Consider the following 27660-nt stretch of genomic DNA (forward strand, 5'->3'; position numbering starts at 1 on the left):
CAAAATCAGTAACAAAAACAATTACACAAAATGTCTTAAATTGATGGGGGTGTCAGGAGAGTAAGAATTTTTTTTTTAAATGACTGTTGAAGTCTTCTAAGTCACTGTGCCAGTATGCTCTATTTTCGTTTGTTTGTTTGTTTTTGAGATGGAGTCTCACTCTGTCACCAGGCTGGAGTGCAGTGGTGCAATCTCAGCTCACTGCAACCTCCCCTTTCCGGGTTCAAGCGATCCTGCCTCAGCCTCCCGAGCAGCTGGGACTACAGGTGCGCACCACCATGCCCCGGTAAAAGTTTTTGTATTTTTAGTAGAGATGGGGTTTCACCATGTTGGCCAGGATGGTCTCGATCTCTTGACCTCGTGATCCGCCCCCTTGGCCTCCCAAAGTGCTAGGATTACAGGTGTGAGCCACCGTGCCTAGCCGCTCTATTATTTTTATGCTGTGTGATACTGATGTACTTTGAATGCTCTCTATTTGAGCTCTGCATTCTCTGGATTGATGGAACGCGACATTTTTCTTTGTCTCCAGAAATTCCCCCTCTCCTTCAATAATGAGTCTCTAGACTTAGTACTGCCTGAACAGCGGGATACTCTCTTCCAGGCAGGGATCATTAGTGAAAGATTGGCAACATTTTCTCAACACTGGTAGAAAGAGGAGTTATATGAGCCCTCTGTGCATGTGTTTTTAGGTACATGTATTTGTATTAGGCCCTAGGGAGTTTCAAGACAAGCTGAATTTCCTTCAGTGTTTAATACTTCATAAATAAAGCCTTATTAGCAATTCTCAGCTCCAGCAAATCATGGATGTATTCCAGAGAACATTTAAAATATAAATGTAATTTCAAGTGGAAGAAAAGAGCCCCATTTTTCCAAATAGTCAACATATCTCAAGACACTAACATTTTCAGGACGGAGAGGGTGACAGATAGGGAGTCAGATGGGAATGCTTTGGTGAGATAGAGAGCCCTCACAGAAAGAAACAAAGGCCACTCTCCCCCTCACTACATGCTTAAATACTCACAAGGTGACATGAGGTAGGTGTTGGAATTATCCCCATTTTATATTTGATGAAACATTTACAGGTTAAGCAAACTGTCCGAGGAGACCCAGATAATAAGTGGAAGAACTGGTATCGGAAGTTAGCACAGTAACTCAAAAACTGCCCTCTGGCTGGGTGTGTAATCCCAGCACTTTGGGAGGCCTCAGCAGGATTACTTGAGTGGAGGAGTTTGAGACTAGCCTGGGCAACACAGCGAGTTCTCCAAGTCACTGTCCTCTTCAACATGATATATTTTTCTTCCTGCGTGCCTTTCCAGAAAAGATGTCTTATTTCCAAATGAACCTCCAACCAATACCCATAGCCCATACTCCTTATCCCTTTTAGAAGGACCTACCTTCCAGCCCAAACTTCGTATCCTTCTTGAAACAAACCACCCACACCCCTCTTTCCAGCCCATATTCCATGTCTTCCTTGGAATGAACCACAAGCACCCACCCCCAACACATATTCCTTATTGTTGTTGAGATGAACCACTGAATTCGACCCCTAGCCTGTATTGTCTGTCTTTCCTGGTCATGCATGGCCTCAGTGAAAGCCACTAGGTCTCTCCCATGAGTATCATTACTGATGTTCTTTGGGGGGACATGGCTTAGCTGTTTCCAAACAATGGCCAATTCCACCTACCCCATCCATTGATCCTATCTCTTACCTCGGGGAGAAGGGCCCACAGGAATTTAGTCTGGCCCTGTCCTTTGAATGGCTCTCTGCAGTGGCAGGTAAGACTGGTACGGAAGGAGGTGTGAGGTAGATAACCCCTCGCTGAATCAAACTCAAAGAGACTCTCAATCCGGACTCAACGTTCTTGACAGGTTCCAGGGCCCGTGCCCCGCTTATATCTCAAGGTAGGTTCCGTAGCACTCAATAAAACCCTCTGCAAGGTATGGATCATCATTTGGTGGTTGGATAATCCTAATCTCAGGGTGTTGAAAGCCCCCACTGTTAAGAAAACCTTCAGTCTTCTTCCCAGGAAATGGACATCTCCTCTTGGCCTGCTCCAACATGCAGAGTTGTTCAAGGGGGCATGGAGAGAACACTGTTCTCTCTCCTACCCAGTGTGTTTGTCATTCTGGAAAGAGCAGGTGGAGAAAAGCAGGCTGTTCTCTTGACACTGCATTCTTTCTGGCTTTACACTAATTTAATCTAAGACACAACATTCAACATAATTCATTGAGTAGCTAGGATCTTCCAGGCGCTGTACTAAGAATCTTAAATTTTATCTCATTTAAACCTCAAAACTCTAAAGGTGGATAATGGTACCCTCCTCATTTTACAGATTTAGCTAAAAAGTAATCACTTGTTCAAGAGTGCACAGCCAGTCAGTTAGTGGTGGACCTGCAATTAACACCCAGGTTATTCTACTCCACAGCCAATGTCTTAATGCTCTTATTAGATTGCCTCCTCGATAGAATTATGACTCTCAGAAGAAGTTTTAATAAACTTTCTTTCATTGAACGACGTGGGTGGGCATTAGGCAGCCTAGCTTTATATAAAATGACGTCAGCACCCTCAGAATGAAAGAATGTTGGAAATGAAAGGCTCTAGGCTTTAACTGTATTAGTAGCTCCTTTTAAATAAGGAAACTGAGACCCACAAAGAAATAACTCAGCCAAGATCACAAATTTTACCTCTGGGAAACAAAAGCAGCCTACATAGAAATAACTTTTACATCAGATATTCCAAAATGTGTTTCATGGAGGAGTAAGGTCTGTGAGATGTTAAAAATAGCTCAGGGAAGGGGGAAAGAAGGGTTCTGTGGTGAAATACTATATTTTCTGATGTGTAAAATTCACCAGTTATATGAGACGTCACCCAATTTTATACAGAAATTATATGCAAGAATTACTTTTCATCATACGTTTTAAAAAGTGATTTTATAATGGAAAATTATTTTTGTAAGCATGGATTGTTGTACAGTGGAATCCTAGTAGGAAATAATGAAGTCTGAATATGTAGTGATATCTTATAAGCCCCTAGGCAGGGGGCAATATGAAAATCACACAGCTGGAAAAATATATATTGATCTTACTAAATGCTAGCACATGCTAGAGTTAGTAGGGTTAGTAGTAATTATATTTAAGTTCAAAGTGTTAGGGGAAAATCACCTAAGCAACTATGTGAACTTTGACTTGCTATTTTTTATAGGAAAACTTTGATGTACTGTGAAAACATTGTATCTTTACTGCTATGTTTTGGGATTGCCTGTTTTACCACTAAGGGAGTAGACATGTATTATTTTGCCTTGGATTTTCATTCATTCATCCACGCCTGAGCATTTAGTTCATGGGAATGTTTGGATTCTTATTCTTTCATGGCAAGGAAGGAAATGCATTATATAAGCCTGAAATACAGTAATTTTTTTTTTTTTTTTTTTGAGATGGAGTCTCGTTCTGTCACCCAGGCTGGAGTACAGTGGTGCGATCTTGGATCATTGCAAGCTCTGCCTCCTGGGTTCAGGCCATTCTCCTGCCTCAGCCTCCCAAGTAGCTGGGACTACAGGCGCCCGCCACCACAGCTGGCTAATTTTTTTGTATTTTTTAGTAGAGACGGGGTTTCACCGTGTTAGCCAGGATGGTGTCCATCTCCTGACCTCATGATCCTCCCGCCTTGGCCTCCAAAAGTGCTAGGATTACAGGCTTGAGCCACCACTCCCAACCAAAATACAGTAAATTTTTAAAATGCCAGATTAAACTAAGTTAGATAGGTTTCTTTCCTGCAGGACTTCTTGTTGACAGAGTATACAGCATTTTCCTACTTATTTGACTGTGGAAACTCTTTTCTTCATATCTCACTGAATACAAGTTCACAAGATTTTGGTGTCCCATCCTATATCCCATCAGATTATCAAATCGTAGCAACACAATATCTTACACTTGAGAGAAAAGCAGGACAGTCCTTTATGATTTGGTACCTGCAGTAGAAACAGAGTGTCTGGTGAAAGGAATGCCACCTCCTACCAATTCAGCAATCCCTGAGATCCACTCATTTGTGCTGGCCACAGTACCTCCAAGCTTCTCTTCCTCTCTGTTCTGCCCACAAACCTGCATTCTTGCCTGCCTCCTGGATTCACAGAAATCCAAAGGGAAAAAACAAAGGAGGTCTTTCTTTACCAGGAGTGCTGAGATAGCTCGCAGGAGAATGAATGGTAGGATTCAAGCATGTTAGAACTCTACAGAAACAGAGGGACATTGGTATGATTCCAAGCACTTGGGGACAATTCTCCCCCACACATTTCATTGGCTAGAACTGATCGCATGGCCCCACCTGACTCCAAGGAGGCTGGGAAGTGAAGTCTTCCTGAGTGTTTAGGAAAAAGAGAACCAGATATGGAAAAGTACAAATCTTTCCACCTCAGGACCCTAAGTTCTTAGTCATTCCAGTGTCAGAAGAAATTAATGTGATGGAATACTTCAACTATCACTCCTTGAAGTTTCATCACTCTCTCTCATTTGGACTTATAGTAAACCCCTATCTTAGTTCCCATTGTCGCCTAAGAAAACAATAGTTCAGCATGGTAGAGTAACTTGTCCAAGGTTCTTTTAGCTAATAAGTGACAAAGCCAGACTCAAACCCATATCTTCCTGACTCCAAAAACTGTATTTACCTTAAACAGTTGTTGTGAGGATTGATTAAATCAGAAATCCATTCATTCATTTGAATATTCATTAAACACCTACCTGAACCATTTACTAGTCAGTATGTAGAGAATTTGGCAGACACTGCTCTCCTAGAATTTAAAACTGTATGAGGATAAAATAACAAACAAGAAAAATGGTCAAATAATTTCAACAATGGAAAAATTTCAGAAAGAAAAATAAAATAAGCTAAAGGAATGGAGTAAAAGGGATGGGGAAGGCAGGTATTTTGAATAGGGGAGTCAGGCAAAGCCTGAAGAGGTGATCTGAGGAGAAGAGGCTGAAGCAAAGGAGGAGAGGTCTTAAGCAGAGCTGGAAGGAGGGGGATTAACAAGTGCAAAGGCCCTGAGGTGACAGTGGGCTGGGTACATTTAAAAAACAACAACAATAAGGCAAATACGACTGGAGCAAGGAAGTGAAGGGGACAACAGTAAATGAGGTCAGAGAAGTAGTCAGATGGCACATAGCCTAGGTCAGAGAAGTAAGCAGATGGTGCATAATCTGGGAGAGGGAGGCACAATCGGGAATCTGGAAAATTTCTAGCCATGATGGGAAGAAACCCACTGGAGTGCTTTGGGCGATGGAATGACGTGGTCTGTGTTCTTTTTCTTAAGGTTCCTTTTCTATTATTATTTCTGTGCAATAGACTGTTCTGCTAGAGGGAGGAGTAAGAATAGAAGTAAGAAGAATAATTAGGGAGCTACTGAAGTCATTCAAGCAAAAATTGATGGTAGCCTGGATAAGACTGTTCAAAAGAGAAGGTGAAAAGTCATTAGATTCAGGATATATTCTGGATGTTAAACCAACCAGATTTATTGGCAGATTGGACGTAAAGATTGAGGGGAAGAAGAGAATCATGAAAAACCCCTAGGTTTTTGGCCTGAAGAGCTGTGGTTCTGTGGTTTTGGTAGACAGAATGATGCTCCCCACACCCCCAAGATGACCCTGTTCTAATCCCTTGGACCTGTCAATATATTACTTTGCATGACCAAAAGGATTTTACAGGTGTGATTAAGTTAAGAGCCTTGAGCTGGGGAGATTTGAGCCAAGGAATGCAAGCAGAATCCAAAAAACAAACAAACAAAAAAAAATGGATTCTTCCCTAGAGCCTCCAGAAGGAACATGGCCCAGCTGACACCTTGATTTTAGGCCAATGAAAACCATTTTGGATTTCTGACCTCTAGAACTATAACATAATAAACCCCTGTTGGTTTAAGCCACTAAGTCTGTAGTAATTTGTTATAGGAACCATAGGGAACTAATTTAGTGGGATGTGAACAGTGCCTTGAATCTTGTTAAGACACTAAAGGGTGATCACCACAGCAAACTAGGAGTTAGAGCAGAGAACAGAGGGAGACAGGGTAGGTTTACTGTTCAATCTTAAAATGGAAAAGTACTTAATTGTGTGATATATTGAGTTTCACTAACAAGCAGGAAGTACCAATTTGTGCCAGGTCTTATATCAGACAATGGAGACATGAGGATGAGTAAGATGCAGGGCCCGGTCTGGTGGATGAATTTGCAGGATGGGGAACAATTTCACAGCAGCTTAATGGACCTGCCTGTCATTTTACCTTGAAAAGGGACCCTAGTCTAGTTTTCATCTTTGAGTATAGGGGGGATAAAAAGGCCTCTTGGTGCTCGATTTCCTCTGGTACCACGGAATGTTTCTTTGGGCAGGTCTCTTCTGTCTTTTACATCTGACCCACAAAATGCACTTTATTCCACTTGGTCTGGACTTTCTATTGAAACCAGCAAAATGATTTACAGAATGTACAGCATCTCTGAAAAAAATAGTAAAAGATTCATTGGAAGAGTGAAATCTCTTTTAGGTTGTAGGAGATGTCTCTTCACTCATCTGATATGATACAGTTTTAAAGTGATAATTGAGACTTTTTTATGGAGTGCAGTTAAGAAATGTCATTACTGTTTATTACAGAAAATGAAATAAATTGGTAGTGCGGGTAAGAGAACTCATATTGTAGAGAATTACAACTCTTTGGGAAATACGAGGTGAGCATCTTCTTTGGGCACGAGAATTTTTTTTCAAATACCTTCCAATTAGCACAAGCCTTGTGCTCAGTATTTCCTCCACTCCCCATTCAATGACGGTTTATAAAAAAAAAAAAAAAAACTACCCTTATTCCAAATTTAAGAGGCAGAGAGAGATGGGGGCGGTGGCGGGGAAGGGAGAAAAGGAGAAGAAAGGAGTGAGAGGGACAGAGACGGAGAGGGATGAGTGGGGGGAAGAGAGAGAGAGAGAAGGGGAAAATGTGGGAAAGAGGTTCAGACTGGTTGGATCGTGTCTGCAGTGATTGCTGACTGCAGGGTTGCACAGTAGACCAGCACTGGCTGTAATGTTAAGCTGGCCAGAATTTAAAGCTCATCTCTGGCATAAACTACCTGTGTGACCATGGACAAAATATCTAAACCCTATGAGCTTCAGTTTTTTTCATTCATTAAATTGGAGAAATGATACCTGTTTGCAGGGCTATTGGGAATTCTGGTGTGATCATGTATCTGAAGTACCCGGCATTGTCTAAAACATGGTAGATGCCTAATAAATACTCACTTCATTCTCCAGAGCATCCTGCTTCTCTCTCGTTCTCTTTTTGACACTCCTTAATTTTCCTCTTTTGAGAATCAGTGATACATACCTGGGGAGAAAAAAAAGGAGGTGGGAAGAAATGGGAAGGCATGATAAGGTTGTGGGGAGACTATCGCACCACTGACTTTTCTTATAACTTCCCAGGACTGGCTGGGGAAAGACCTGGTAGGTACAGGGGGAGCCATGGCCTGGAATAGCAAGCTGGACATTCCTGGTTATGTTACTATACTGAGACTTAAGGCTGCGAAACACTTGTCCATCTTCAGCTATATTTCTTCCTCACTTAAACCCTCTGGGACAATTTTCCACTTTAGAGCTAAAGAAACTGAGGCTGGGAGAGGCTTTCTGACTTGCCCAGGATGACTACAGTGAGTAAGGGGAGCCTCAGTCTCCTCAAGTCACCACGCAGGCAGCCCTTTCTGCCTCATTGCACCTGGCACCCACCTTTATGTAAAAGCCAACATCAAAGAAAACGACCCAAGTGCTGGGGGACTTCTCCTTAAGTCAACTAAAGATGAGGTCCTTGTCACATGGCCACGAAAATGTAGGCTTGCAGACGATTCGAAGAGTGAGAAAAATGGGATTTACTCGGCAAAAAGGAAAAAAAGGGGAAACAGAGACTCTTAGTGAAGCGAGAGAGCGTGCTTCCTACCTGTGCACTTCCTGCCTCACAGTTTGAATCCCAGGTTCCACACAGGAAGAGGAGGGGCCAGGCTCCTCCCTGCTGCAAACAGCATTAGTTACTGTGGCTCCATCTTGTAAGGATTAAAGAAAGAGGAGAGGAAGGAGAGGGAGGAAGAGGGAGCAAGGGTTAGGGAGCAAAATCCCACTTGCGAGTGGTCAGGGGTGGATTCCTAAGACCTGAGGGTTTGTTTGGTTTCTTGTTTGTTTGTTTGTTTGTTTGTTTGTTTTTGAGACGGAGTCTCGCTCTGCCACCAGGCTGGAGTGCAATGGCACATTCTTGGCTCAGTGCATCCTCCACCTACCGGGTTCAAGCAATTATCCTGCCTCAGCCTCCCGAGTAGCTGGGATTACAGGTGCATGCCACCACGCCCGGCTAACTTTTTATTTTTAGTAGAGACGGGGTTCACCATGTTGGTCAGGATGGTCTCGATCTCTTAGCCTCATGATCTGCCCACCTCGGCCTCCCAAAGTGCTGGGATTACAGGCGTGAGCCACCGCGTCCTGCCCAACCTGAGGGTTTTGAGAGCCCACCTGGGAGTAGCCCCAGCCTGAGCCTCACAGTTCCCTTCAGGTTCATCGTCCTCCTCACGCAAATCAGTTGAAAATGAAGTGAGGGAAAAGATGGGCGGGTGGCCAGAGACCTTCAGGATCCAGAGGTTAACTCACAGTGAGCCGCCGTTGCCCACTGCTTCCTGAGTTGCAAGAGAGCCTGTGCTCCCAACACCCATTCCAGGTTTTGGCACCAAATGTAAGAATTAAAGAAAGAGGAGAGAAACACGAAGGGTGGCTTGACAGTTACCCAAGAGACTTTCCCCCACTACCTCCCTTTGTGGCCGAGCTGTTTTATTTGTGTTTTACTATTTGCTCTTTCTGGCTGCTTATAGTTAGAAGAGAAGTGATTTCCTTGTAATGCTTGAGGCTAGAAAGGGAGCTGGAACTTAAAGTGGTGATGCTTGTCTGAAATGACGGTGCTCCTGCTCTGTTACATCCCAGTATGCACTCCTCCCAGTGAATAGGCCAGTTGGAGTTTTGCCAGGGGGCCCTTCCCACCTGACTGTCTCACAAATTCTCAGACCGGGAGAAGGACCTCCTTGAAAAGGCGAGTTGAATCCCTTGAATTACATAAGGGGAGGAGATAACCTGAGCCTTAAACTCACAGTGAAGCCCACTAGTTGGGAATTCAGAAGAGACAGAGAGTTGAAAATTACCGAAGGAAACTTGCCCAAATACTTAAGATAGAATCACAGTGCTCTGAAAGAATATGCTAAGTCACTGTATTTTTAAGAACTGGGAAAACGTGTTTCCTGCTACTATTTGGAAAGAATGACTCTAAGAGCGTAAAGGGCAAAACCCTTCTTTTTATGAGCACTGTTTACTGTTGCTGATACCTCCTGACTAAATAGACTGTGTCTACATGTGGACCACTTGGGACCAGTTCCTGAGCTCCACTTTGGACCTAATGAATCAGAAGTTATTAGGGATGGGCCCCAGAGTTTTCTGTTTTAATATGCTACCATAGTGGCCCTAATGCACAGATGAACTGGAAACCACTCTTCTAAATGTGTCTTATGTCTCCCTTGCCTGCTGGATCCTGATTCAACAGATATTTATTGAATTCCAACTATTTAGCTGTCTGTGTTGTATGCACTTGGGATATACCTATAAACAAAACTGAACGCTCTGTCAAAAAAATCTGTTTTCTAGAACTTATAGTCTACTGTGTGGGTGACATTGTTTAAATATGTGTCCTCATCAAATCTCATGTTGAATTGTAATCCCCAGTGTTGGAGGAGGGGCTGGGTGGGAGGTGACTGGATCATGGGGATTAGCACCATTCCCTCTTGGTACTGTACAGCGAGTTCTCATGAGATCTGGTTGTTTAAAAGTGTGTGGCACTTCCCCCCTTATTCTCTCTGTTGCTTCTGCTCTGGCCATGTAAAGACGTGCCTGCTTCCCCTTTACCTTCCACCATGATGGTAAGTTTCCTGAGGCCTCCCCGGAAGCCAAGCAGATGCCAGCCTCATGCTTCCTGTACAGGCTGCGGAACCATGAGCCAATTAAACCTCTTTTCTTTATAAATTACCCAGTCTCAGGTATTTCTTTACAGCACTGTGAGAACAGACTAATACAGCAAAAATAGGTGAGTGAGGAAAGAAAATAAGCAATAAACACAACAAATCATTTTTTACTTTATATTAAAAGATCATCATTGCTTTTTCTAAAGAAGAGGCAGATAAAAGGGGAAACAGGAGTGTGGGGATGGGAGAGAGGAGTGGGTTGGGTGGTGTGACCCTGGATCTTCTGTCTACTCCAGGAATGAGACTTTAAACCTTTCCTGCCTGCATCAACCTGGACTGCTCAGATCTGGGCTTCCCACTTCTACCTGCCTCCTGATTCTCAGTGCTCTGTTGCCCTGTTAGTTCCTAGGTACTCCACCCACAGTGCACGGAAGTAACCTTCCTCTGCTAGCTAAACAGAATTCGTGACGACCTCTCCAGGCTAACTCTGGGAAAATGCTTGTTTAAACCTCCCTGTAGGACTAAACGCTTAACCAATTCTTTGAAACACCAGAAAGACTGGAGATATATTTGAGCAACACTCTGTGGGGTGCTGGAGCCAGTATGCACGAGCTCCTGAGAGCCAATTGTGTGCATGTTTTTTCCAGCTAGGCATCAGTGGTGTTATATCATAGCTCAAACCAGTGGGGGGCCGGAGGCGGGCGGGGTGGGGACGGTGGGAGTAGTTAGTTACACTGAGAACTGTGATAACTCAGCAAGTGCCACAAATCAGGGCTCCCTTTAGAGATCTGTTGTTACATATTGACCATCACATCAGTGGTAACAGTTATGTGCTAGAAATAGCCCCAGAAGAACATAACTCCAAAGCTCTCTCCCTAAATCCAGTAACCTGGGTTTGGCTCTTCTCTTGCTTCCTGGGTACAAGAAAATCTCAAACCCTCTTGCTACCGAAGGGTTTGAGATTCTAGACCAAAAAGATACACAGAGAGGCTTGGAATAAAATAGACAGTAGTGACTTGAAGGAATACAAAGGGTGAAAAATTCCTGCACTCAATTTATTGTCTTATATCTTGAGGTTTATTTTTCCTAATAATCATTACACCCTCAGAAACTGATGAGTTTCCAGGGCATTATAAATTTAAAACATTTAGCAGGGCTAGCACTAAAATAGCTCATTAAAGAGTGTGGGTTGGAAAGGCTTGTTAGTCTGCTTTATATACAATGATCAATTACAGCAAATTTCTCAGCAGTAGTTTCTATCACTCTTCTTTAAGATGCAGTAATAGAAATGAGATCATCAGACTTAAGGAAGTTAATCAGTGCATCAAGGTTTTCCACAGAAATTTTCCAAGGCAGGAGAAAGAAAATGGACATTCCAGATGCCTAAGACTATGGTTTAAAGAGTCTCAACAAGCTCAAAATGTCAAGAAAGCTTTGGCCAGTGATACGCTAGTGAATGTTTTAACAAGCAAATCTTAGGGGTGGGGAACTGTGATTTACAGCATTTGCCAACTTCCATTGCATCAAAATTTCCACCATGGCCAATTTCAAGCTACAAATGTGCTATCAACTGACTTACTGTATTCCTGAAAATGTAGCTATTGATTCTCATGAGCTTAGTACAAGCCAGGTCTAACATACCACTTGGTTTTTTTTTTTTTTTTTTTTGGAGACAGACTCTCACTCTGTCTTCCAGGTTGAATTGCAGCGGCACAGTCTTGGCTCACTGCAACCTCTGCCTCCCGGGTTCAAGCGATTCTCCTGCCTCAGCCTCCTGAGTAGCTGGGATTACAGGCACGTGCTACCATGCCTGGGTAATTTTTGTATTTTTTAGTAGAGATGGGGTTTCACCATGTTGGTCATGCTGGTCTTAAACTCCTGACCACGTGATCCGCCCGCCTCAGCCTCCCAAAGTGCTGGGATTACAGGCATGAGCCACTGCGCCCAGCCCCACACCACTGTCTTTAGCTCAAAAGTTAATATGAATTTTGCACCCAGCTCAATGATACATCCATAATTAATTTAAAAATAATAGTGGTTTTCTGTCTGTCTTCAAATTTTCCAGCATCACCTAATGTATGTTTCCCAAAGACAGCTCTACTCTTATGTGAGATGACTTGGTGGGGGGCTGGGACATGGAATAGCCTTACATTGTTTCCTTTGCATTTCTCCCTCTCAATCTTCCCAATTATATTAAGATTAAAGTCTCAGTGAGGTACTAATCTGCTTTAACACCTCTTGAACACATCCCTCTCCCTTTTCAACAAAGAGGGAGCAGGCTTCAAGTTCAGAGTCTTCAGGCTGGCAACAGTATCAAGTTAGAATGTATTAGAATTGTTTCTTTACATTTTGCTTATTATGTTCAGCTGTCTATGGCAAATAATACTGATTTTTTTCCCATTTATGGATGCAGAGTGGGCTTTTCCTTTAAATATGTTATTAGTATGTCAGTTAATATGTTTCTTGTACTAAGGTGGTACCTGGAATAAGCAAAAGTCACTTGCTTCTCAGAAGATAAGGCCCAGCTTCTTGTGGGACATGCTAGTGGGGCCTTTTGGAGGCAGAAATACCCAGTGGCAGCTTGTTGCATTAGCAGTAACTCTCTACCTTTAGAATCTCCTGCTGCCATTCATCCTACTCACCGAAACAGATTTTGATTCAAGTTATGATGTGCTGTCATATGTTGATTTGTATCAGCAGTTGCTCACTTGTATCTATTGCCAATTTCCATGGTGTAAATCTTCCCACCATGGCTGATTTCAAGCTATCAACCAGACAATGAACATATGCATGCATGTATCTTCATGACAGAATGATTTATATTCATTTGGATATATACACAGTAATGGGACTGCTGGGTCAAATGGTAGTTCTGTTTTTAGCTCTTTGAGAAATTGCCACACTGCCTTTTTTTGAGAGTCTTGCTCTTGTCACCCAGGCTGGAGTGCAATGGCATGATCTTGGCTCGCTGCAACCTCCAGCTCCCGGGTTTAAGCTATTGTCCTGCCTCAGCCTCATGAGTAGCTGGGATTACAGGCACCATGCCACCAAGCCTGGCTGATTTTTTTGTATTTTTGGTAGAAACAGGGTTTCACCGTGTTGGCCAGGCTGGTCTCAAACTCCTGACCTCAGGTGATCCACCTGCCTCGGCCTCCCAGAGTGCCCAGATTACAGACACAAACCACCACACCCAGCCTGCCACACTGCTTTGCACAATGGTTGAGCTAATTTACACTCCTCCCAACAGTGTATAAGTATTCCTTTTTCTCTGCAACCTTGCCAGCATGTTATTTTTTTACTTTTTAATAATAGCCATTCTGACTGGTTTGAGATGATATCTCATTGTGGTTTTGATTCGCATTTCTCTAATGATTAGTGTATTAGTCCATTTTCACACTGCTGATAAATACATACCTGAGACTGGGTAATTTACAAAGAAAAAAGAAGTTTAATGGACTCACAGTTCCATGTGGCTGGGGAGGTCTCACAATCATGGTGGAAGATGAAAGGCATGTCTTACATGGTGGCAGGCAAGAGATAACTTGTGCAGGGAAACTCCCCTTTATAAAACCATCAGATCTCATGAGACTTATTCACTATCACGTGAACAGCACATGAAAGACCCTCCCCCATGATTTAGTTACCTCCCCCTGGTTCCCTCCCACGATATGGAAATTGTGGGAACTGCAATTCAAGATGAGATTTGGGTGGGGACACAGCCACACCATATCAATCAGTGATGTTGAGCTTTTTTTTTCATATGCGCATACAATTGTGAAGAGAGGAGAATTCTTTGAATATATACACAGTAATGGGACTGCTGGGTCAAATGGTAGTTCTGTTTTTAGCTCTTTGAGAAATTGCCACACTGCCTTTGGAGAAACAGAAATCTTGCATCCATAGTTGCCTCATTTCTCTTTTTCAATTACTGACTCTCCCAACATAGAAGGATCGAGTTGAGGGAGGCCACAGGGTCACTTACATGTGCAGATAGAGCAGTGGTTTGAATTCAGTAACCACCCTGTTTTTTGTTGTTGTTGTTGTTTTTTGTTTTTTGTCTTTGTTTTTTTGAGACAGAGTCTCACTCTGTCACCCAGGCTAGAGTGCAGTGGCACAATCTGAGCTCACTGCAAACTCCGCCTCCCGGGTTCAAGCGATTATCTCACCTCAGCCTCCCAAGTAGCTGGGATTACAGGCACCCACCATCACACCCGGCTAATTTTTGTACTTTTAGTAGAGACAGAGTTTCATCATGTTGTTCAGGCTGGTTTCAAACTCCTGATCTCAGGTGATCTGCCCGCCTCGGCCTCCCAAAGTGCTGGGATTACAGGTGTGAGCCACTGTGCCCAGCCCACCCTGTATTCTTTTTTGTTTGTTTTTTTGAGATGGAGTCTGCCTCTGTCGCCCAGGCTGGAGTGCAGTGGCTCTATCTCTGCTCAGTGCAACCTCCACCTCCCGGGTTCAAGCGATTCTCCTGCCTCAGCCTCCTGAGTAGCTGGGATTACAGGCACTCACCACCACACCCAGCTAATTTTTGTATTTTTAGTAGAGATGGGGTTTCACCATGTTGGTCAGGCTGGTCTCAAGCTCCTGACCTCAGGTGATCCACCCGCCTCAGCCTCCCAAAGTGCTGCGATTACAGATTACAGGCGTGAACCACCGCACTTGGCCTATTTTCTTTTTCTTTCTTTTTTTTTTTTTTTTTGAGACAGAGTCTCGCTCTGTCTCCCAGGCTGGACTGTAGTTTCCCGGGCTGGAGTGCAGCGGCACCATCACGGCTCACTGCAAGCTCCACCTCCCGGGTTCACGCCATTCTCCTGCCTAAGCCTCCCTAGTAGCTGGGACTACAGGTGCCCGCCACCACACCCGGCTAATTTATTTTTGTATTTTTAGTAGAGATGGGGTTTCACCATGTTAGCCAGGATGGTCTCGATTTCCTGACCTCATGATCCGCCTGTCTCGGCCTCCCAAAGTGCTGGGATTACAGGTGTGAGTCACTGCGCCCGACCCACCCTGTATTCCTAAAGTAGCCCTAGCATTCACTAGCTGTGTGGTCTCAGACAAGTCACTTAGCCTCTAAGGAATGAAATTTCTAGGAGCACAAGAGCATAGGGCTCTCACATAGCATGTGGCAGTTATTAGGATGCAATTAGCATCACCATTTCTTTCCTCCACACCCACAGGTGTAGAACCAGGGCACGTGAGCATTGTTTAAAGGAGAGCTTCAAAGATGATGTATCTTTAGAGCTTGATGCCACCTGCCTTTGCCTACCTGTTGCTTGGCTACAGACCTGGCTCCCCTCCAACCTCCCATTTCTAACGCTACATCAAAGGCTGTGCTTCTCAGCTGGGAGCAGTTTCGTCCTTTGAGGGGCAGCTGGCAATGTCCGGAGACATTTTTGATTCTCACAACTGGAAAAGTATGACTGGGATCTAGTGAATGGAGGCCAGGGATTGTGCTAAACATCTCAAGATACACAGGATAGCCCCCTGCAACGAAGAATTATCCAGCCCCAAATGTCACCATGCCAAGAATAAAAAACCCTGCTCTAAGGATTAAGTGAGCTTGGTCCCTCTAAAAGATGTGTTTACTCTACTGGAATACTAGAGAAATTCCTTAGGCTACCATCCTAAGAAAGAGTAGCATAGCCCCTAAAAATTGTAACTAAATTTTACACTCCCCAGGCAGAGGTATAAAGATGTCTCCGACTTGTTAAAGCAATAAATGACCGAAGGATAATGGGCATGACAGAATAGATTTTTAACAGTCTTATTCCCATCATTAAATCCTCGCTCTTCCACTTTTTTAGCTCTGTGACCATGAGCATAGTAAGTGCTAGGATCCTCAATTTCTTCAACTGTAAAAACAGAAATAATGCACCTGTCTTGTATAAAATTGTTGTGAAGATTAAAGGAGATAATGCCTGTAAGCCAGTTAGCCAGTTACTGCTGGTATATTGTTATGTTCTCAACAAACATAATCATTATCATCATTACTCTTGCTATTATACTGCCTACAGTAGTCAGAGCTCAAATAGATATTTTCATCATTATTATTATTTTAGGTCTATTTTAGTTCCTTAAACAGTTGTGGGTGGCTGAGAGGCACATGTACCTGTCTCTTCTCTGTGCCAAGACTCTGCAGAGTGGTGAACGGCAAGAAAGGAAAAGAGTCCAAACAGATGGAAACTTCATGGGGCAGGTTTCTCCTAGTCTGCCCCCCGCCACACACACACACAGAAACTAAACACTCTTCCAAGCTGTCTTCATCCATGGGATAATTTCTTTAAAGCCTGCATGGAATCCCAGATAATGAAGAATGATGAGGCTAATTATAGACTCACCATGGTACAAAAACCTGTCGGTTGTATGTTCATACAGATTATCCAGCTTAAGTCACAGGCCATTCAGAGTGTTCAATTTCAGAACCATCCAGAAGCTATCAGACCTAGTCTGTCCAATCTGTGGGGGCACAAACCCAAGAACTGTTCTAGCACATAGAAGAGCACAAAAAACATGGCTTGTGGTATCTGTGCTTAGTGAGGCCACTGACTCACTTGGAATGGCCAATTCCAGATTGCAGAACTTTTTTTTTTTTTTTTGAGAGAGAGAAAGAGTGTGTCTCACTCTGTCGTTAATGCTGGAGTACAGTGATGCAGTCATAGCTCACCGCAGCCTCAAACTCCTAGGCTCAAGTGATCTTACCACCTCAGTCTCCTGAGTAACTGCGATTACAGGCACTCACCATCATGCCCATGTAATTTTTATATATATAGTTTTTGAGACAGGCTCTTACTGTGTTGCCAAAGCTGGTCTCGAATTCCTGGCCTCAAGCGATTGTCCTGCCTCAGCCTCCTAAAGCACTGGGATTACAGGTGTTAGCCACCACACCTGGCCAGAACTTTTTTCAATTGTTATTTTCTCCTGATAAGAAAAGTAGCACATATTCAACAGAGACATTTAAAACCATGTCCCTTCAAAGCAAGAAAAATCATACTCCCATTACCAACAGTAACCCTTTTGTATGAGTTGTCTTTTCTTTCAGTATTTCCTTTTTGGACAGATGGGGATTTGTTCTTTGTTTTGTTTTCTTTAGTGGCTTGACTTTTTTTTTTTTTTCTTTTTTTTGAGACAAAGTCTCGCTCTGTCGCCCAGGCTGGAGTGCAGTGGCACGATCTCAGCTCACTGCCCCCTCTGCTTCCCGGTTCAAGTGATTCTCCTGCCTCAGCCTCTGGAGTAGCTGGGATTACAGGCGCATGCCACCACGCCCACCTAATTTTTGTATTTGTAGCAGAGACAGGGTTTCACCATGTTGGTCAGGCTGGTCTCGAACTGCTGACCGCATGATCTGCCCGTCTCGGCCTCCCAAAGTGCTAGGATTACAGGCGTGAGCTACCACACCCGGCCAGGGCTTGCCGTTTTTTAGACATTATCACATTGTACAAAAAAATTTGTGGACTGCCTTTTTTTCCCTCTTGTACACTCATAAGCATTTTAAACTATAATGGCTACATAATATTCTAACAAACAGCTCTAACAGAGTTTACTCAACCACTCTCCTGTTCTGGACATCTAGGTTACTTGTTCTTTTTTTTTTTTTTTTTTTTTTGAGACAGAGTCTCACTCTGATGCCCAGGCTGGAGTGCAGTGGTGAGATCTCAGCTCACTGCAAGTTCCGCCTCCCAGGTTCACACCATTCTCCTGCCTTAGACTCCCGAGTAGCTGGGACTATAGGCACCCGCCACCACGGCCAGCTAATTTTTGTATTTTAAGTAGAGACAAGGTTTCACCGTGTTAGCCAGCATGATCTCGATCTCCTGACTTCGTGATCTGCCCGCCTCAGCCTCCCAAAGTGCTGGGATTACAGGCGTGAGCCACAGCACCCAGCCCGAGAATGTATCTTAAAGAAATAAACCTCTACTTGGAATTTTATTTAAAAAGTATTTATATCTAAAATGTTTGTTGTAGCTATACCAACAAAAATGAACATGTCACTCTGGGAAGATGTGACTTCAATTGATTCTTAGAATTGCCACCTACCTCCCCAACTTACCAAACTCTTGGTTATGGAGACTTCTTAGATTCACCCTTCCTTGTGACTCTAGAGGACCTGACTACTGTTCATAGCCACCCCTCTGGGATCAGTCCCATTTGAGATCCCAGTGAAGCCCAGGCTGAAACAAGAATGGCTGAAGTCTGGCTATCCATCCCTAGTTGGCCTCTGAGCAGGAATGGAAAGTTGCTGGAAGGCAACACCTCCCTCAACCCCTTACTTTAATTCCCTGTCTGTTGAGCCTGTTTTTATCTCGTTACCATGGCAACACAGCCTCAAGGCTGATAGATATTCCTTGCCACTTAGAGGAAAACACTCAGCTAATAGGCAAGTGGGAAGGACACAGGAAAGAAAGGGTGAGCCCTTTTCTGTTTCCCTTCCGTGCCTCTGCAAATGGGCAGAGATAATTAAAAATTAGATTTTAAAGTCACACTGACACTGACGGAAGGAACATAAGGAGGATTCCAGCGCTCACAAGACCATCTGCTTCTAGTGCTAATTAAAGTGGATGAAGATAAATCAAATTACCTCAGATCTCATGTCTCCTTGATGAAGAATCTTTGAAAGCATAGGTCATTTTAGGGACTCTTTTCACCCTTTGGGGAATTACCTGGCTTCTAAAAAACCTGAAGCAATCGTAAAGATCAAGTGGGTTTTAACAGCATGTCTCAGCATCCTACCTCAAATCTTGGTCTCACCCCGCCAGCCTCCATAATTCCCAGTTGTCATTGGTCTCCCAGTTTCTCCCCATCCAGGGCCCACTGGCCAATATTACTCTCAGGGTTATCTTCCCGAAACACACTTCTAGCTGTGTCCAAGTGAAGACCATGCCCAGCTCCCTCCTGCTCACATAAGAGGGGCCAGCTGACCTGGCCCAGCACACAACATCCCCAGGACACCCAATAGCACTGTCACTCACGCCCAGTCCCCTGAATGAGCAATGCATTCAGTCCTTTCAGAACTCTGTTCTCTTGCCTGAGTGTATGCAGTTTCTCTTCCTGAAAAATGCCTACCTCCCTCTGTTTTTGAGGTGGAGTTTCGCTCTTGTTGTCCAGGCTGGAGTTTGCGCAATGGCATGATCTTGGCTCACCACAACCTCTGCCTCCCAGATTCTAGCGATTCTCCTGCCTCAGCCTCCCAAGTAGCTAGGATTACAGGCATGTGCCACCACGCCCAGCTAATTTCGTATTTTTAGTAGAGACAGGGTTTTCCCCATGTTGGTCAGGCTGGTCTCAAACTCCTGACCTCAGGTGATCCAACCACCTGGGCCTCCCAAAGTGCTGGGATTACAGGTGTGTACCACCGCGCCCGGCCCCATCTCCCTCTTAAAACCCAATGGAAAAGTAGTTCTTCTCTAAACTGAGTAATTTCCTCCACTGGACTCACATGCCTCTTCATTCATAGCTAGGATATAGCTCCTCCCACACTCTGTTGGAATTGACTGTCTCCATGGCCACCTTCCCTCTTCTCCTGGCTTCAAGGGCAGAGGCTGCATGTGCTCATCTCTGCATGCTGCCTGGCACATAGTAGGTGGAGGTTATTACCCCACAAACACAGGCCATTTGATTGAAAGGGTACACTTGTCTATCTAGGAAATGAGAACAACACATTGAACTTCTCTAACACCTAACTCCTAGGAAATCCAAACCCCTCATTTGCAACACCATCATCAAACATATGCTGGGTCCTTAGCAATACGGTGTCACAGTTGAGCATTTGAGTGCTGGAACTGTCGTTATAGTTGTCATTTGGGGAAGAAAGCTCAAAGTTCACATTTTGTAAACTTTTTGGAAAATTTCAAACATATAAAAGCAGCAATTATAGGATACTGACACCCCCTGCCCCCATACTCCTTCCCTGTTACCCGGTTTCCACAATGATTAATATTTGGTTGATTTTTTCCTTCATTGCCTTCCCTTTCTCACTATTTTTCTGGAGTATTTTAAAGTAAATCCCAGACATAATATTATTTCATCTGTAAATATTTCATAAACATTCTAAGTTAAAATCCTAGCTCTTTGACATACTATGTTTATGACCTTAGGCAGGTTAATTAATGTCCCTAATGTTCATCTTCTACATATGTAACATGAGGATAATTATGGTACATTCCTCATAGGGTTATAATGAGGAGTGAAGGGACTATTCCATGGAAAGCATTTGACACTTAGCATGCACTCAGCTGGTGTGCTAAGGGGTCGGTGTCAGCCATTAAAATCACTGTCACTTATCATTACTGAATTTACAGCACAGCATCAAACCCTTGGGACATGAAAGACATAAGATCTATCAGTAATCTGTATCTATCAGTAATCATGACTGTGGCAGCAGGATGGGGGCAGATTGGAGCACGAAGAAGCTGGGACCTTCAGAGAACAAACAGGAGGCTAGAAAAAGAATACTGTAGGGAGATGATGAGACCTCGAATGATGCAGTGACAGAGTGGAGACAATACACACGTGGAGATTAGAGCCAAGATCTCTGATCGACTGCCTGCAGCAGGGAGATGTCCTTCTGCAATTAAAGGTCAAGTCTAGATTCTGGTGGCCTGGAGCGAGTAAGTCAAGGGAGGTGGAGGCAATGGCAGACAATGAGTTTCTTCTTCCTAGGATCATGATCTCTGGGGTACTGACAGGGCATCCTATGCTGGGGCATCCTAGAAAAAAGAATAGGCAATGTGCTAAGAGTTTGGATGTTTGTTCCCCAAACCTCATGTGGAAATTTGATCCCAGTGTTGGAGGTGGGGACTAATGAGAGGTGTTTGGGTCATAGGAGTGGATTCCACATGAATAGATTAATGCCCTCCCTGCAGGAATGGAGAGTGAATTCTCATTCTAGTAGTTCCTGCCAGAGCTGGTTGCTAAAAAGAGCCTAGTGCCTCACCTCTCTGTCTTGCTTCCTCTCTCACTGTGTGATCTCTGCACGTGCCAGCTCCCCTGCACCTTCCGCCATGAGCAGAAACAGCCTGGGGCTTCCACCAGATGCTCAATCTTCCAGCCTCCACAGTCATGGACCAAATAACTCTTTTTTCTTTAAAAATTACCCAGCTTCAGGTATTCTTTTATAACAACACAAAGGGACTAATACAGCAGGTGAGGCTGCCGATTATGACATGGCAATGCTTGTCCTGCCCTTTGTGAAGCACGTGGCTCTTCCTAGACAGTTGGTTGTCACTTTTATTTTGGTGTTACTTACACAGCTTCTAATGAAAGATTCCAGATGACTGTACCCTTAAGTTTTCCCTCAGCCATGGCTCTGTAGCCTCGTTTCACTGCTGTGGTGATCAAAGTGAGCTGGTGGTTGCCTCATAATCACTTTTAATAACTTATTATCCAATGAACATGTGCTCATTGTGTTCATTTTTTAAAACACAAAAACATTGGCCAGGTGCAGTGGCTCACGCCTGTAATCCCAGCATTTTGGGAGGCCAAGGCAGGTGGATGCCTTGAGGTCAGGAGTTCAAAACCAGCCTGGCCAACATGGGGAAACCCCATCTCTACTAAAAATACAAAAATTAGCCAGGTGTGGTGGTGGGTGCCTGTAATCCCAGCTACTCAGGAGGCTGACACAGAAAAATCGCTTAAACCTGCAAGGCAGAGGTTGCAGTGAGCTGAGAGCATGCCACTGCACTCCAGCCTGGGCGACAGAGCAAGATTCCATCTAAACACACACACACACACACACACACACACACACACACACACACACACAGTTATAATGGAGAAAATGAAAACTAGCCCTAACCCTATTACTCAGATATAGCCAAGGTTGTGAGGTTGATACAACCTATAATTTGCATTAATATATATTTTATATAGATAAGCAGAATAAGAAATTGTATGTTCAGCGTGATCTTATCATGTTAATGAGAAATGGGAAGCAGTGATCTTCAGGGATGTTCTGTGTTGCCCTTAATCATCCTAAGCCTGATGGACATTTTGCTCCAGTTTTTTGCTTTTAAATATTGAATAACATATAGTAACTGTTAAATTAGTGAATGTTATACAGCTTTATTCCATTTCTTTAATTTTTCTCCTTTTAAAAGGCTGTTTCTACTGGCAAACATAAGGAAAGGATCCATTGTTTATCCGGCCTTTCCTATACAAACTGTTTATCACTGGTAATCAAATAATGGATGAAGGGAAATGTCTCCTTATAAAATTATGGCAGCTAATAAATGAACACGACTGTATTCATCCTCCGGTAAATTACTGGATCTAGGCATTAAGTTAGTATGCTGGAAAGAGAGCCAGCCAGCCATTGTATAGGTTTTGGAGAAAAGACACAGCAGCGCCCGCGGTCTTGGCAAAGAAAATATATTAACCTGATCAAAGCTTCCATCCACCTGAAGGAAATACAGAGAATGGAAAGATACGTTGGCTGCACTGGCTGTTCAAAATCCGTAAAGTCCAGACGGTATGCAACTCCACAAAGCTCAACAATGGGAGCTCTTCAGTACAACTTGCAGGGAACAGCAGCAAAGTGGAAGGGTAATTTGTAGTTTTAAAATGACTCAAGGTCCGGGTGTAGTGGCTCACGCCTGTAATCCCAGCACTTTGAGAGGTGGAGGCCGGCAGACCACTTGAGGTCAGGAGCTTGGGACCAGCCTGGGCAATATGGTGAAACCTCGTCTTTGCTAAAAATACAAAAAGTAGCCAGGTGTGGTGGCGGGAGCCTGTAATCCCAGCTACTCGGGAGGCTGAAGCAGGAGAATCGCTTGAACCCAAGAAGTGGGGGTTGCAGTGAGCCGAGATTGCGCCACCGCACTCCAGCCAGGGCAATGGAGTGAGACTCTGTCTCAAAAATAAATAAATAAATAGGACTTAAAAGTATGAGTGCGTGTATATTCTTTTAATTAGCAAAACAAAACTATAATGCCTGGGATGCAGAGTTGGGTGAAATTAAGGAAATTTAAGGAAGCGATTACTCTAAAAGTCAGGACTGAGCCAGCGACATTTGAGGGAGGGGAAGGAGGTGAGATTAGCACAAGGGACACAGAAAGGACTTCGGGGTGGCTGACAAAGTTCTACTTTGATGTATTGGTTTTGTGTAGTTTTCTGTATCTGTGTTTTACAACTTTTAAAAGTTTAAAATTAAAAAAAAAAAAACACGAAAAAACAAACTGAAAGCTGTTACTAGGCAAGATTATTTCAACAGGGCAGAGAGATTGAACTCAATTCCTTTGAAACAAAAGGTAGAGAATTTTTGAGCACTAGGGGGAGATAGTGGCAAAGTCCTAAAGGACGTTTCAGGAAGAAGGCAGGTGAGCTGAAGCCATCAAGCCATCTGTGTTTGCTAATTGGTGCTTATGGAAGTTAGGCTCTTATCCTTCCCAGAGACTGGGAGATAGGGATGCTATCTTTCTTGATTACATTTTGAAGGGATGGTTCCCAAGTCCTTGAGAAAGACATTCCTGGGTTGTAGAAGATTTATGTCTTAAAGGAGCAAAAATAATTTACAATATCAAGTTTTCTAAGGTAAATGCTCTAAGGGAGGATTAGGGACCTACAGTCAGGAAGAAACCTGTTGATACAGTTTGGATCTGTGTCCCAACCCAAATTTCATGGTGAAATGTAATCCCCAACGTTGGAGATGGGGCCTAGTGGGAGGTGTTCGGATCAGGGGAGCAGGTCCCTCATGAATGGCTCTTGCTCAGAGTTCACACCAGACCTGGTAGTTTAAAATTGTGGGGCCCCTCCTCCCTGTGACCCCCCACCACCACCCCTCGCCTGCATCTGCTTTTGCCATGTGACATGCCTGCTCCCCCTTTGAGACCTCCCTAGAAGCTGATCATATGCCAGCACTATGCTTCCCATAAAGCCTGCAGAGCCATGAGCCCCTGGTGACTCACACCTGTAATCCCAGCACCTTGGGAGGCCGAAGTGGGCAGATCCCGAGGTCAGGAGTTTGAGACCAGCCTGGTCACCATGGCAAAACCCTGTATCTATTAAAAAATACAAAAATTAGCCAGGCGTGGTGGCTCATGCCTGTAGTCCCAGCTACTCAGGAGGCTGAGGCAGGAGAATCGTTTGACCTGGGAGGCAGAGGTTGCACTGAGCCAAGATGGTACCACTGCATTCTAGCCTGGGGAACAGAGTGAGACTCCATTTAAAAAAAAAAAAAAAAAAAAGCTGTTACTAACAATATTGTGTTGGAGAGTGTCCCCCTAAATCCATGTTTCTCCCTGAACCTCAGAATGTGACTTTATTTGGAAACGGGGTTGTTGCAGATATATTGCAACAACATTGCAGATATTTAAAACGAGGTCATATCAGATTAGGGTGGACCCTTAATCCAACATGGTGTACTTGTAAGAAGGAAAAAAGAGAGAGAGAATGCCATATGATGATGGAGGCAGAGACAGGAGTGATGTGTCTCCAAGCCAAGGGCCACCAAAGATGCCAGCAACCTCCAGAAGCTAGGAGAAAATAATGGAAAAGATTCTTTCTCAGAACCTCCAGTAGGAACCAATCCGGCTGACATTTGGATTTCAGACTAAGCCTCAGAACTTGTGAGAAAACAAATTTCTGTTGTTTCAAGCCACCTGGTTTGTGGTACTTAGACAGCAACCCTAGGAAACTAATATACTACCCAAACATTATTATGTGTTCCTAATTTTAATGAAAAGAATGATTAGTTTAGCTCAAGACTGGGTATGATTTGTTAAAGCATTATTTCTAGTCCTTGTCTGTATGCAAACAATTGTTTACTTGGTTGAAGTTATAGCCCAATACAGTTTTATTTCTGGACTTTTTTTCATTTGACAGAACACCTATTTACATTTCTTTTTGTTTGGTTTTATTTTGTTTTTTTGATAAAGGGTCTCACTCTGTCACCCAGGCTGGAGCACAGTGGTGCAATCACAGCTCACTGCGGTCTCGAACTCCTGGGGGCTCAGCCTCCCAAATAGCTAGGATTACAGGTGCGTGCCACCACATCCAACTGTCTTTTCATTGCCCAAGCTGGTCTGGAACTCCTGGACTCAAGCAATCCTCCCACCTCGACCTCCCAAAGTGTTGAGATTATGGGCATGAGCCATCTTGCCCAGCCTGATTTGCATGTCTTAATTTGAGCACGTGTATCTCTAGTAGGCATTGGTTCACACTAGATCCTGATGTTTCCTTCCTTGAAAAGAAACAAGCCCACCTACTGCATTTCCAGCATGCAACTTTGCTTCTGAGTTTTCTGCTCATGTTGCACTAAGATCTGGCTCATTAGACCATGAACTGTGGGTTGCTCTTGTAACCTGCTAATTCTAACTTCTCACACACATCCTGTGTGACCCCACCACCACTGAGATTCGTCCCTGAAACCATCAGCAGATGAAACTCAGCTGCTGGGTCTTTTGAGCGGCCACATGGAGACAATGAATAGGTATAATTAACAGAAAAACAATATCCTGAAGGTTTCTTCATGCACTGAGCAGAAATCAAGTTGTTTGATACTTGCGCAGAACCAAAGCTGAGATCCGATTTCTTGTCTGTTGCCCTGGAGTGAAAAGGGTTGTAGTCACGGCTATCTGCTGCTTTCCAGCATGCCAGGATATTTAAGTCAAGTGTTAAACTAGGCTCTATCCAGATAGCAAAAAGTGGAATGTCAGGCCGGGCGCGGTGGCTCACGCCTGTAATCCCAGCACTTTAGGAAGCCCAGACAGGCGGATCACAAGATCAGGAGTTCGAGACCAGCCTGACCAACATGGTGAAACCCGGTCTCTACTAAAACTATAAAAATTAGCCGGGTGTGGTAGCGCATGCCTGTAATCCCAGCTACTCAAGAGGCTGAGGCAGGAGAATCGCTTGAACCCGGGAGGCAGAGGTTGCAATGAGCCAAGATCGTGCCACTGTAGTCCAGCCTGGGCGACAGAGCGAGTCTGTCTCAAAAAAATAAATAATAAATAAATGGAACATCATCTCCCCCTCTCAGGGGCATCTTAGCCAAGCAGGGGACCTGTCTTTCTTGTTCTTTGCATGAGTCACCCAAGCACGATGCCTTCTCACAGTAGGCAGTCAATATTTGTTAAATAAAGCACTTTTGAATTAAAAGGTTCTAAAACGTCAGAGTTCCAGAATCACCAGGAGTAGACTACCTGTCCAGTCTCAATAAAAGAGGCCTAGGGTGAGGCCAATACATCACTTTTTAAAAGCAACATATGCGATTTTTTACTTTTTTTAAAGATCAACTCCAAATATAGGAAACACACGTGATTTTAATGCAGGCAGTCTTTAATTTCTATTTTTAAGAAAAGCTAATGTAACCACTTGAGTGTTTTGAAATCAGAGACCATATTGTGTTCTGTTCATGAGCGCCTATTGAGCTGTGTACCACACACTCTTCCTCGTTCTTGGGAAAGAGCAGAACAAAATCCCCTGTGTGCAACATGTTATGTGGATACTGAGATGGGGCAGGTGCATGCTCTTCAAGAGCCCATGGAGCAATGGGAGGGGAGAGATATAGAAAAAGTTTTTATAACACTGTGATTCTCAACTGGAGGTGCTTTTGCCTCCCTAAGGGACATTTGGCAATGCCTGGAAGCATTTTTGTTTGTCACAACGGGGTAGCGCTACTGACATCTAGTGAGCAGAGGCCAAGGATGCTGACGAACATCCTGCAGTGCCCAGGACAGCCCCCACAACAAAGAGTTATCTGGGCCAAAATGCCAATAGCTACTAGATTGAGGAACTCTTCAACAGAGAATGGGGCCGGGCGTGGTGGCTCACACCTGTAATCCCAGCACTTTGGGACGCCAAGGCGGGAAGATTGCTTGAGGTCAGGTGTTCGAGACCACCCTGGCCAATGTGATGAAGCCCTGTCTCCACTAAAAATACAAAAATTAGCCAGGGGTGATGGCACTCGTCTGTAACCCCAGCTACTTGGGAGGCTGAAGTGGGAGAATCTCTTGAACCTGGGAAGTGGAGGTTGCAGTGAGCTGAGATCGCAACACTACACTCCGGCCTGGGTGACAGAGGCTCCATATCCCCCCCCCCAAAAAAAAAAAAAGAGAGAGAATGGAATGAGTGAAATGACCCAGGGACAAGCAAGATGCATATAGAAGTACAAAGGAAATAAACCATTCCTGGTCCTGCAATACAATACCCAGCGTCCTACATCCTTCCTTCCTTCTTCGCTCTCCATTGCTTCCAACCCACTGTCTCATACCTGGCAACAGTGCATCAAGCCTGTGGTTGTATGAAGCGGGGTCTAAAGCCTAGTTTCTCTGTATCCACTGTTTAACCTTAAGCAAAAACAATGGGTAAGACCTGTTTGATAGCACAGTGGGGTGACTATAGTCAACAGTAATTTAATTGTATATTTTAAAATAACTAAAAGAGTATAATTGGATTGTTTGCAACACAAAGAGATAATGCCTGAGGGGATGGATACTGCATTCTCCATGATGTGATTACTATCTATTGCATGCCTGTATCAAAACATCTCATGTACCCCATAAATATACATACTTACCATGTACCCACAAAGATTAAAAATTTTAAAAATTTTTAATTAAAAAGAAAAAATAACCTTGGACAAGCCACTAACCTTCCTGAACCTCATTCTCATCTCGACTCTCCTCCTTGAACAACAGAGACTCAGGAAGAAAAGGGGGC

General features: G+C 43.9%; 1 protein-coding gene and 1 long non-coding RNA gene across 3 annotated transcripts in view; one reads left to right on the top strand and one right to left on the bottom strand.

The window, feature by feature from the left end:
* VAT1L (vesicle amine transport 1 like) overlaps window positions 1–27660 on the top strand; it is a 191544-nt gene that overhangs the window by 140127 nt on the left and 23757 nt on the right. The window lies entirely within an intron of this gene.
* The window catches only part of LOC105371351 (uncharacterized), a 41987-nt gene continuing 15370 nt past the window's right edge, over window positions 1044–27660 (bottom strand). Inside the window, exons 1-4 of one of the 2 annotated variants that reach the window (XR_007065124.1) lie at window positions 20939–21046; window positions 20515–20711; window positions 7265–7349; window positions 6007–6476 (exon numbers count right to left, since the gene is read on the bottom strand). This is a non-coding gene — a long non-coding RNA (uncharacterized LOC105371351). Of the gene's footprint in view, window positions 6477–7264; window positions 7350–20514; window positions 20712–20938; window positions 21047–27660 lie in introns of those variants that run through there. The other variant, XR_007065123.1, reaches the window with a different exon arrangement.

Source organism: Homo sapiens, chromosome 16, assembly GCF_000001405.40.
Source record: "Homo sapiens chromosome 16, GRCh38.p14 Primary Assembly".
NCBI classification, from domain to species: Eukaryota; Metazoa; Chordata; class Mammalia; order Primates; family Hominidae; genus Homo; species Homo sapiens.